Source organism: Homo sapiens, chromosome 7, assembly GCF_000001405.40.
Source record: "Homo sapiens chromosome 7, GRCh38.p14 Primary Assembly".
NCBI classification, from domain to species: Eukaryota; Metazoa; Chordata; class Mammalia; order Primates; family Hominidae; genus Homo; species Homo sapiens.
The window spans coordinates 65,900,141-65,913,410 of record NC_000007.14 but is presented as its reverse complement, the minus strand read 5'-3'; the positions used below and the strand labels follow the sequence as shown (position 1 = coordinate 65,913,410).

The 13,270-nt window shown below is 40.8% G+C and overlaps 1 protein-coding gene across 4 annotated transcripts in view; it reads right to left on the bottom strand.

The window, feature by feature from the left end:
• VKORC1L1 (vitamin K epoxide reductase complex subunit 1L1) overlaps positions 1-13,270 on the bottom strand; it is a 93,787-nt gene that overhangs the window by 46,148 nt on the left and 34,369 nt on the right. The gene's annotated exons all lie outside the window — the stretch shown is intronic.

Sequence of the window (13,270 nt, the reverse complement as noted above, 5' to 3'; positions counted from 1 at the left end):
TGTGTGAAGATCTGGGTGGAGAACACCCCAACTCCTATTTGACTGCTGTAGTACAATGAATAGCAGGCCCAGATCTCCTTCCATAAGGACGTTACATGAAAAAAACAAAGGGTCTATGCAACAGTGCTAAAGAAGGGAACCAGGAACGTTCCCAGAACTCAGAGAAGCAATCTTCCTCTACAGAAAATTCACTATCAGAATTAAGAATATGATATATATTTCATAAAAATTCAATTTTTCATAGTTATAGCAGCCAAGATGGGCTCTGACATACACATTTCAGATCTGTGGAGGGAGCAGCCCCACAGGATGCTCTTTCATTTGCAGTTTTGCTGCTGACAGCATTACCAGCTCTCTGAGATACCCACACCTCCCTACCTAATCTTGCCAGTAACGCAGACAGATTGGCACACAAGGCTCAGTAACTACCACAGTGCTACTCAGAGTGGGTTCCACGGACCGGTGCTGCTCCTGGAACTGTTTACTAGTCCATGATGAAATACATACAGAAATGGAAAAGAAAAACTTTCCCATGTTGTAAATTTACTAAAATGTAATTTTATGATTGAATCTATTAATAAAAATGTGGCATATGTTTTATATTTTATATTTTTATCTTTTAAAATGAATTTTTCTAGTACTTTGTTTCAATTGTATTTTACAAAGTATAGATCCCCACCTGATGGGTGGGAGGAGTATTTCCTCATCACAATGTGAGAAGCACTGATGTACTAGATTCTTACACACTAGGCCTTAAGTGCCCAGTTTCAAAGGGTACGAGCCACGACAAACCTAGTCATGGTGTCAGTAAAGCTTCCTTGGAGCCCTCAGTCAGCTGTTGAGGAACATACTGCCTGCTACATGGGCCTTTGTGCATTAAGATTCAACATGCAGATGCTTCATGAGGTTATTCTCACTAATCCATTACACAAATCAGAAGAAACTGACATGCGATTGAGCCAGCTGAGAAACACGGGATGTTACACGCACTGAAATGCATCAGCTGTCAACACTGTGAGCTCGGAAAGAGCCACAAGCTCCAGCACACAATATATGGTTCCTGGTGGCTTCCTGGAGAAAAAACAATATTCTACAGCTCCACTAATATAAGCTACTTTTGTAAATTCACACCTCAGAAACATTTACGCACAGCTCATGCCTACTTTAAATGTTCTGAAATTCTAGTTAAAATAGTAGACGCCTATAAATGAATGCATTGTCAAGCTTTTGAAAATTAGAGTGCAATACGATGAAATATAAAGTTACAGCATTTCTTGTTTTTTCCCTGAGATGGGGTCTTGCTCTGTCACTCAGGCTGGAGTACAATGGTGCAATAGCGGCTCACTGCAACCTCTGTTTCCCAGGCTCAATCAGTCCTCCCCCTTTTACCTTGATATTATATTATGGGATTATATGTCAATAGTGGGTAATGTGCCCTGTTGTGTGATATAATAGGTATCAAATAAATCCTTTAAAAAGATGCAGTGAAACTAGCTATTTTCTATGGACTTAATGCATGTAAAGCCTATAACTTTCTAAGAATGATACAATCATCCAGTCAGAGCAAAATGCCTATCAGAGCAAAACCACAAACCAGTGCTGGTCTATGAATTATTTGTTATGAATCCACGACAGGGTCAGTTCAGAAATTGAGAATAAGTGTTTAGAAAGTTGTATAGGCCAGGCATGGTGGCTCATGCCTGTGATCCCAACACTTTGGGACACTGAGGTGGGAGGACTGCTTGAGCCCAGGAGTTCAAGACTAACCTGGGCAAAATAGCAAGATGCTGTCTCTGCTTAAAAACAAACAAACAAACAAACAAACAAAACTTTTATACACATTCAACAATGCCATGACATGCAAGTGCACGACCAGTGATTTGTCTTGCTGAACAGAGAGTAATAACCTATCTAGGTGCTGTCAAGCTCACATGGGGAGGTGTATATGGCATGACATGTACTAGGCAGGTATGGCAGAATCAAGTTATGTGGGAAATGCTATGCCTATTTTACCAACTACCTAAATGTATACAAAAATCTGAGAAAATGCATGGGTTTATTCATTTTTATAACTACTTAATTTTGCAAACATTTTCATTTTAAGCCTGTATTTAAATTTGTAATTTAACATGAGTTAAACTAGAGAAATGAAGTTTACATTCTTTTTAACCAAATTTACATATGGATAAACAAGCTTCAGTTGATTTTGCAGCATCTTTTCAGTGGAAAAGACATGCCTCTGAATATAGTAAACCACAGGACAGTGAAGGAAGTGAATCCAAAGAGATGAAGACCAAAAGATGCCACACCACTTTCACTCAGGAGTGGGGCTGAGCCCTCATATACTGAGTTCAGGATTGTAGCCATAATTAATGGTGAAGTGTAACATCACAGTGTGTTAACTGAAGAGATATACTGGTTAATGGAGCAACAAAATCATCAAAATTTAAGGGGCATTTATAAACCAAATGTACAGACATAAGCTCAAAACAGAGAGAATTCTTTGAAAGATACTACATTTTAAAGGCTAATAGAAGCAGATGATCAGTATTTTATCCATAAATGTTTTACATGCTTCCTGTCCCAGCACTTTGGATTGCTAAAATGAAAATGCTATTGTCAAGAACAAGTGAATATCACTTACATGAAAGGGTAAATCTGCACTTTCCAATGAAAGCACAGCTTGCTACCTTTGGAAACTAATGATACAGAAGACCAATTTACAAAAAAAAAAAACTTGCAAAGTGCTTTTCATTGTACCTTGACAAGCGCACAGATATTGCTAATGTGCTATCCAAAGATGATGGTGATGTGAAGGAAGAACTAACTCTTTTTCTCAGTTTTACATCCAACAAACACAACTAGTTCTGAACTGGGTAAAACGATGAGAATTATGTTGGCAACAAAACTGGTCTGGAATTTTGTATACAAGAATGTTCTGATAGCACAGCTGCAATGACAAGAAAACATTCTGGAGTAGTTCCCCAGATTAAGCAGCTTGCACCAGAAAGAAAATCACACACTGCTTGGTGTGTGATCTCGGTACAAAAAATGTCAGTTGAACTAAACAGTATGTGTGTAGTGTCATAATAAGAATCATGAGAATGCAAATACATATTAATGATTATTGTCTTTATTATGTGCTAATAGAAAAGGATACTGTTAGTGAATTAATGTTAAAATAATGTTCATATTAAAACAATGGTACTGAGGAGAAATTTGAATTACAGAACAGACTCAGTGCTTCTGCAAGGTAAGAAACAAGTTTGTTTCCAACTTTTAAAAGATGTGAACTTGTTAGCCAACTTGTTACTTTTAATTATCTTAATACTTCCTTACGAGGAAGGAAAGCAACAGGCTTTTTAACAACAGGTAAGATTAAAAGGCAAAAACAAGGCCAGGCACGGTGGTTCATGCCTGTAATCCCAGCACTTTGGGAGGCCGAGGTGGGTGGATCACGAGGTCAGGAGTTCAAGACCAGCCTGGCCAAGATCCTGAAACCCTGTCTCTATTAAAAATACAAAAATTAGCCGGGCATGGTGGCACATGCCTGTAATCCCAGCTACTCAGGAGGTTGAGACAAGAGAATCGCTTGAACCTGGGTGGCAGAGGTTGCAGTGAGCTGAGATTGCACCACTGCACTCCAGCCTGGGCGACAGAGCAAGCCTCCGTCACACACACACACACACACACACACACACACACACACACACACACACAAAGGCTAAAACAAAAGTTAGAAGCTTCAAAGAACAGTTTCGACAGATGATCACCAAATACCTTATAAATGAAACAGAACATTCTGAAATTTAATTTTTCAACCAATGAGATCCACACACAGGAAATGTAATAGAACCAAATCTATTTCCTTCACCTAAAGATAATTTAACTCTTCATGGCATAAACTGTTACAATTGGCTAATGCTGAAAGATAAAGGATTAAAGAGACTTGCTTTATTGTGGATACAATTGGAAGTCCATATCCTGAACTTGGTGAAATTGTTTTTAAGATCTCTTCTTCCATTCCCATCACGACATCTCGGTAACAATGGTTTCTCTACTTAAGAGTATTATTAAATCAAAACATAGCAAAGCTTAGCTTTATATTGTCACTTGAAAGTGATGCTGTGCCCGGGCACGGTGGCTCATCTGCAATCCCAGCAATTTGGGAGGCCGAGGTGGGTGGATCGCTTGAGGTGAGGAGTTTGAGACCAGCCTGGCTAACATGGCAAAACCCTGTCTCTACTAAAAAAAAAAAAAAAAAAATTAGGCTGGGCGTGGTGGCTCACGCCTGTAATCCCAGTACTTTGGGAGGCCAAGGCTATGTTGGCCAGGCTGGTCTTGAACTCCCAACCTCAGGTGATCCAACCACCTCGGCCTCCCAAAGTGCTGGGATTACAGGCATCAGCCACCGTGCCCAGCCTGTATTGTATTGATATTATTAAAACGTAATTCAGCTGAATAAATTACATGAGCTTGTATTTTACATGTCTGATGTTTTTATTTATTTTTTAATACTTCATCTTGCAAACATATCAGTCTACAATGGATTGGAATTTTTTTTTTTTTTTTTTGAGATGGAGTCTTGCTTTGTCACCCAGGCTAGAGTGCACTGGCACGATCTTGGCTCACTGCAACCTCTGCTTCTGAGGTTCGAGCAATTCTCCTGCCTCAGCCTCCTGAGTAGCTGGGAAGATAGGTGCATGCCACCACACCCAGCTAATTTTTTGTATTTTTAGTAGAGATGGGGTTTCACCATATTAGCCAGGATGGTCTCCATCTCCTGACTTCGTGATCCACCTGCCTTGACCTCCCAAAGTGCCGGGATTACAGGCATGAGCCACCATGGCCGGCCTGGATTTGAAATTTTAAAAACTCTGCCTTCAGTGGTTTGAGAAATACCAGGCTAGCCTTAAGTAGTTACTTGCATTTTGAATTTGTGTCAACAGATTAAATCCAGATAAATAATCTTGAATAAATCTCTGTTCTTCTTCTTTTGAGATGGAGTCTTGCTCTGTCACCCAAGCTGGAGTGCAGTGGCGCGATCTCGGCTCACTGCAACCTCTGCCTCCCGGGTTCAAGCGATTCTCCTGCCTCAGCTCCCAAGTAGCTGGGATTACAGGCATGCGCCACCATGCTCGGCTAATTTTTCTATTTTTAGTAGGGACGGCGGTTTCACCTTATTGGCCAGGTTGGTCTCGAACTTCTGACCTCAGGTGATCTGCCCGCCTCGGCCTTCCAAAGTGCTGGGATTACAGGCATGAGCCACAGCACCCAGCCAAATAAATTTCTATTAACTGAGATTCTACTAATACAAATTTGAAGGGTATAGGAAAATGTCTTAACTGTCAATATTCATGAGCAGAGCAGTTGTGGCCTCTGTGTATCAAAGGAGTTAACAGATCTGACACACTGCTTGCTTGTTTTCCCAGTAAGTAATCAAAGCTGGGACCAGAGCACATTTTCATACTTAATCCAGTGTTCGCTCCATTGAAACTGTTGTCTTTGATACGGGAAAAAAAAAAACTGATGAGGGAAGATCTTGAAAACAAAACCTATCTTGCTTAGGTTAACCAGCTGAGTAAAACTGTCATTGGAAATAACCAAATGTTCTGATTGTAATCTCAGACTCCCTGAAGTTCAAGTGAACTTGAACTTGAAAAATAAACACCTGCTCAAAGATCTGTAGATCATTAGCCTACCTAGTCACAGAGAAAGTATTAAAACCTTTTCTCTCTGATTAAAACAAAATGAAACAAAACAGTAGTATTCACAGTGGTGTTTATTGACAGTAATCACAACTGAACAGCGGGAGGCCTAGGGAGGGTCATTCTGGACTGTGAAAGCAATCTACATTTCTCTTTCTAGCTAGTAACAAAAGGATGCCAGAGGCCGTCAGAAATATTGCTACCATGAATAGTTTTTTGTATGAGGAAAGATATTTAAATCCTCCATTTATTTATTTTATTTATTTATTTATTGAGACAGAGTCTCACCCTGGCTGGAGTGCAATGGCATGATCTCGGCTCACTGCAACCTCCGACTCCCGGGTTCTAAGCGATTCTCATGCCTCAGCCTCTGTTGTAGCTGGGATTATAGGCACACGCCACCATGCCTAATTTTTGTATTTTTAGTAGAGACGGGGTTTCACCATGTTGGCCAGGCTGGTCTCGAACTCCTGACTTCAGATGGTGTGCCTGCCTCGGCCTCCCAAAGTGCTTGGGATTACAGGCATGAGCCACCGAGCCTGGCCAAAAACCTCCATTTTTACTTAAGTTTTAATGATTAATTTCACATTATAATGTGAAAAGTAATGAGTCTCTAGCAGTCTTATCCTTAAAACTGGGGCTGATTATAAAGCACTACTTTGCTCCATCCCATTTTCCTTCAAGTCACCTATTTTGAGTAAATACACTAGTTTCACTTTCCACCCTTGTATAGGGGCTGTAAATACTACTAGGAAAAAACCCATAATTAGCACCAGTACAAGTTCAAGGTCCCCAACCTGAGCGTAAGCACTGCTTTATAATTTTTTTACCCATCCCAGGTTATAGCCTCCTATGGCCCCAAAATGAAATCTCAAATGTCCTTCATTCTGCATAAAACCCATGCTGGCCCCTCAGTGGAAAACGTCAAGTCAACCATGAATTATGGATCTCTTCCCCTTTACTTTCACGCCACTGATTTCTGTTGCACGGACTCTGCTTATTACCATGTATGTCTAGCATTAAACTGGACTCCTAGAGAAGAGGAACTCACATTCATTTCTGGGTCCCTAGGGCCAAAGTGTAATTAAGGAAAGGAATAACTCCAATTCTTTCAAATTCTGAATTTGTGGTCCTCTCAAAAATAGGCAGTGTGTATTCAAGATCTGCTTGTTTCCCTGATCCAGTTCTCCACCTTTGGGGGTCTTACAAAATAGGCCAGTAAGTCAAAAATGTCTAGAGATTACTCCCACATGGTAATCTTTGCAAATAAAACTCTTAGACCTAACTTTATACTACTAAAAATTTCACCATACTCCTTTTTTTTTTCTTTTTGAGACAATGTCTTGCTCTGTCACCCAAGCTGGAGTGGAGTGGTACTACAGCTCACTGCAGCCTCATCCTCCTGAGCTCAAGCAATCCTCCCACCTCAGCCTCCCGAGTAGTTGAGACCACTGGCACCAGGCTGGTCTCGAACTCCTGACCTCAGGTGATCCGCCCACCTTGGCCTCCCAAAGTGCTGGGATTACAGGCATGAGCCACCGTGCCTGGCCTTTTTGACAAATTTATTGAGCATCTAGTATACTATGGCCATGATACAACAGAGAATATGGGAGATACGGAATGTGTCTTCAAAACGCTCACATTCTAGAACCAATGAAGCTGAAGCAGTAACCAAAGAAGTGAATGAAGAAAACTAGGTTGATGAAGAAAAGGGGCAGGAAGAGAAGAAAAGGAAAAAATAAATGTATACGTTTTATGTTTTAGCCAAATTTAAGGCAAAGAGATTTTGATAGAATTTCAAAGATTTCAGAGATAAAGTAAGTATCCTACAAGCACGGTGAGGATTGGGTGTCTGGGGTAATCAAGTTTTTGAAAAATCTGGGTGGCGATGTTTTTATACTAATACCACACGTGGACCAAGCATAAGGTTAAATTGGCACTTCCATACATCTGTAGTGGAAACACAAATTGTTTAAATTTTCTAGATGTAAATTTGACAATTCTACTTGTAGGAATACAGCCAAAAAAATCAATGATGTAAAGATTTACACGGAAGTATACAAGAATACTCATATTATTTAAAATGGCAAATTTGGCTGGGCACAGTGGCTCACACCTGTAATCCCAGCACTTTGGGAGGCCGAGGAGGGTGGATCACGAGGTCAGGAGATTGAGACCATCCTGGCTAACATGGTGAAACCCTGTCTCTACTAAAAATACAAAAAATTAGCCGAGTGTGGTGGCGGGCACCTGTAGTCCCAGCTATGTGGGAGGCTGAGGCAGGAAATGGCATGAACCCAGAAGGCAGAGGTTGTAGTGAGCTGAGATCGCGCCACTGCACTCCAGCCTGGATGACAGAGCGAGACTCCATCTCAAAAAAAATAAAAAAATAAAAAAAATAACCACGCCAATTTAAAACAACTTATGTGACAAATTATCTAGACTGAAACAAGTTATAATGTGGCACTCAGTGGAATACTATACAGACATTAAAAGCTGTTTTCAAATATTTTATTACAGGTCCAAATGTTCACGATTAAAAGTTAAAGGAAACAAAAAGCATGATTCCAATTTTGTTTCTAAAAAACTGCACATTATTTATGTGTATACACCTGCATTTGTATGCATATGTGTGTGTATGTATGTAGGTGTATATATATACATACCTATATGTATACATATACATATACATACAGGCATGTGTATGTATATACACGTGCATGTATATATACATAATATGTATACGATGTGTATAACATACATATATACATACATACACAGGAAGAAATGTATACACACATATATATACACAGACAAAAATCAACTGGAAAGAAGTACACTTAATGATGGTGAAAATGGAGATTTTTATCTTCTCTTGTATTTTTAACCTGAATGAATTTTTCAAGACCATTTACATTTAATGTGATAATGGATCCAAGACTGTTTAAATCTACCATTTTGCTGTCTTTTTCTATTCATCCCATCTGTGCTTTGTTTCTTTCCCCATATGTCTTGCATTCTTTTAGGTTAATTACTTTTTAGAATTCTATTTATTTCCACTATCAGTTTATTAGCTATACCTCTTTAATTTTTATGGTAGTTGTTCTAGGTTTTAAATTATACATTGTTAACTATCAGTCTGCCTTCCAGGTGAAGTATACCACTCCATGTACAGCTTAAGAACCTTAGTAAGGTTTCTGCCAGGCACGGTAGCTCACGCCTGTAATCCCAGCACTTTGGGAGGCTGAGGCAGGCAGATGACTTGAGGTCAGGAGTTTGAGACCAGCCTGGCCAACATGGTGAAACCCCATCTCTACTAAAAATACAAAAATTAGCTGGGTGTGGAGGCACACCCCTGAAATCCCACCTACTCGGGAGGCTTGTTGAACCTTGTTGAACCCAGGAGGCAGGGGTTGCAGTGAGCTGGGATTGCACTACTGTACTCCACCCTGGGCAACAAAGTGATACTCTGTCTCAAATAAATAAATAACCTGACTAAGGTTTCTTATACCCTTCCCGTCCCCTTCCATTCTTTGGGCTATTGTCATAACTTTTACTCCCATGTGTTATAAAACCTATAATGCATTATTATTTTTGCTTTAAGCAACTATCTTTTTAAAGCTACTATTTCTTTAATTCACAATGTTGTGCAACCATCACCACTAACTGCAGAACATTTCCATCGTGCAAAAAGGGAAATCCTGTACCTGTTAGCAATCACCTTCAATGCAGTCATCTTTTAAAGAGAATAAAATGGAAAAAAAATTCTTATGTTTACTCCCAGTTACCATTTCTAGCACTTTTCAATCCTTTGTGAAGATCTAAATTTCCATTTTAAACCATTTGCCTTCTGCCTGAATAACTTCAACACTTCTTGTGCAGGTCTGCTGGCAACAAGTTCCAGTAGGCCTTTTTTTTTTTTTTTTTTTGAGACACGGTCTCGCTCTATCACCCAGGCTAAAGTGCAGTGTGGCTCAATTATAGCTCACTGCAGCCTCTGCCTCCCAGGCTCAAGCAATCCTCTAACCTCAGTCTCCCAAGGAGCTGGAACCACAGGCGCGCGCCACCATGCCTGGCTGATTTTTGCATTCTTTGTAGAGATAGGCTTTCGCCATGTCACCCAGGCTGATCTCAAAATCCTCCTACCTTGCCTCCCCAAGTGCTGGGATTACAGGTGTTGGTCACTGCACCCAGCCCCAGTAGTCTTTTTTAAAAAGCACTTTAAAGGTGTCTCTCCAGGCTGGGCACAGTGGCTCATACCTGTAATCCCAGCACTTTGGGAGGCTGAGGCAGGCAGATCACAAGGTCAGGAGTTTGAGACCAGTCTGGCCAACATGGTGAAACCTTGTCTCTACTAAAAATAAAAAAATTAGCCAGGCGTGGTGGCATGCGCCTGTAATCACAGCTACTTGGGAGGCTGAGGCAGGAGAATCACTTGATCCTAGGAGGCAGAGGTTGCAGTGAGCTGAGTTCATGCCACTGCACTCCAGCCTGGGCAAGAGTGAGACTCTGTCTTGAAAAAAAAAAAAAAAATGAAGGCCAAGCGTGGTGGCTTACACCTGTAATCCCAGCACTTTGGGAGGCCGAGGTGGGCAGATCACCTGAGGTCGGGAGTTCGAGATCAGCCTGACCAACATGGAGAAACCCCGTCTCTACTAAAAATACAAAATTAGCCAGTCATGGTGGTACATGCCTGTAATCCCAGCTACTCAGTAGGCTGAGGCAGGAGAATCACTTGAACCCGGGAGGCGGAGGTCACGGTGAGCCAAGATCACGCCATTGCACTCTAACCTGAGCAATAAGAGCAAAACTCCATCTCAAAATAAATAAATAAATAAATAAATAAATAAAATTAAAGATGTCTCTCAATTGTATTTTGATTTGCTAAATTTCTGATGAGAAGTCTGCTATCATCCTTATCTCTGTTACTCTGTACATGATGTGTATTTTTTCTCTGCCTGCTTTCAAGATTTTCTCTTTATAATGGGTTGCCAACAGTTTGATGATGATGTGCCTTGGTGTGGTTTCCTTTATAGTTATTCTCCTTGGGATTCTTAAATATGTGGGCTTACTGTTTTCATCAAATTTGAGAATTTTCTTGTCATTATTTTTTACAATCTTTTTTTTCTGTTCTCCCCTTTCCCTCTTTTCTGGGGCTCCAATTACACATATGTTAGACTATTTCTATCTCTAACAATTGTCCTTGTTACAGTCATTGATGCTCTATCAATGTTTCCATTTTTCTTTCTGTTCTCATTTTGGACAGTTTCTATTGCTGTCTTCAAGTCCACTGATCTGCAGTGCCTCAACTTCTGTTAATGCCATCACTGTATTTTAAATTTTATTTCCAACTCAAGATGTTCTGTTTGGGTCTTTTTAAAATACACCTTCCACTTCTCTTTCCATTATGTTAACCATTTCCTCTACTTTTTTGAACTGACAGCATATTTGTAATTGCTGTTTTCATGTCTTTGTCTGTTAATTCCATCATCTCTGTCATTTCTGGATCTAGTTCTGCTGATTGTTCTCCTGATTACATCACATTTTCCTGGTTCTTTGCATGCCTGGTCATTTTACTGAATGCCAAACACTATGAGTTTTGTGTTTTGGGTGTTGGATTTTGTGTTTTTCTTTAAATAGGGCTGGACTTTGTTCTCACACACAGGTAAGATTCTTTAAATCGGCTGTATCTTCCAAGACTTGCTTTTTCATTGTTAGAGTAGATCCAGAGTAGCCTTTAAATTAGGGCGAATTTAGCCTCTTTACAATGCCCTTTTGATGCCCTTGTATATACTCTGGCTAATGGGAACACAGACTATTCCCAGCTCTGTGTTGAGTCCCAGGAATTGTTTGGCCTGCTGCTTTCCAGTGGGGTTCTTTCTCTGGCCTCAGGTGTTCTCCTCTCATGCACCTGTAGATCAGGACTCAACCAGATTTCAGGAGACTCCTCCACCTATCACTGGAGTTCTGTGTACAACTCCCACCTCTCTGGTACTCTGCCCCACGAATGATGACAACCTTCCCTCCCCGCCAACCCCCATCTTGTCCTCCCAATTCTAAGACACCATGCTCTGTTTGACTTCCCCATCCCTGCTCTGCAGCCTGAAAACTACCTCCAGATAATAAATTGGGGCAACCATAGAGCTCAGTAGGTTTGTTTCCCAGCTTTCAGTGACCACAGTCTTGCTTTGCCTGTTACCCAATGCCTACAAATTGCTATTTCATATATTGTTGCTTAAAATAGCAAGGTAAACCCAGTCCTTGTTATTCTATCACTGCTGGACAGAATACATATCGCAAATCAAGTAACAGTTTCTCAATTTGTATCTTGTTGTTGTTGCTGTTTTGAGATAGGGTCTCACTCTCACCCAGGCTGGAGTGCATTGGCTCATAATTCACTGCAGCTTCAATCTCCTGGGCTCAAGGCATCCTCCCGCCTAGGCCTCCCAAAACACTGGGATTATAGGCACATGCCAGCTACTATGCCCTCAACTTAGTATTTAAATGCTTAGTCTTCATCCAGCTCTACCTCTTTATAACACCGAACAAAATTTTTCCTCCTTTTTTTCTTGGAATTCACTCTTCTTAGTTTGACACTAAACTCTTAATTCTCCTATCTCTTTGATTATCATTTCTGATTCTTGAATCTTGAAAGTTCTAGGCAAGTTTCCAAAATCCTATTCTTGCCTCATTTTCTTCTCCATCTGTGTAGGATCTCACCTGTGAAATTTCAACAAGTCCCACAAATTCATTCATAACCTCTTTTGCAGAAGTACTACGTGACTGGCCTTGGACTTCTTCATTCACAGAGGGGAAAAGGGTGAATACAAAATATAATTTCTATTACATTTTAAAGTTTATGTATGTACTTCTATTATTATTATTTTTATTATTATTTTTAGCAGAGTCTTGCTCTGTCACCCAGGCAGGAGTTCAATGGCGCAATCTTGGCTCACGGCAACCTCTGCCTCTGGGGTTCAAGCGATTCTCATGCCTTAGCCTCCCGAGTAGCTGGGACTACAGGCATGTGCCACAACACCCAGTTCTAATATTTGTATTTTTAGTAGAGATGGGGTTTCACCTCGTTGGCCAGGCTGGTCTCGAACTCCTGGCCTTAAGTGATCCACCAGCCTCAGCCTCCCAAAGTGCTGGGATTACAGGCGTGAGCCACCATGCCCAGCTATGTATGTAGTTTTATACGTATACAACCAGAGGAACAAACAGCAGTTAATTCACTTAAGGTATTAAGAATGATGATCTGTTTTGTGTGTAACATTTTATTTTTCTATATTTTCTTTTTTTTTTTTTGAGATAGAGCCTCGCTCTGTCACCCAGGCTGGAGTGCAGTGGCATGATCTCAGCTCACTGCAAGCTCCGCCTCCCCTCCCGGGTTCATGCCATTCTCCTGCCTCAGCCTCCCGAGTAGCTGAGACTACAGGTGCCCGCCACCACGCCTGGCTAATTTTTTTGTATTTTTAGTAGAGATGAGGTTTCACCGTGTTAGCCAGGATTGTCTCGATCTCCTGACCTTGTGATCTGCCCACCTCAGCCTCCCAAAATGC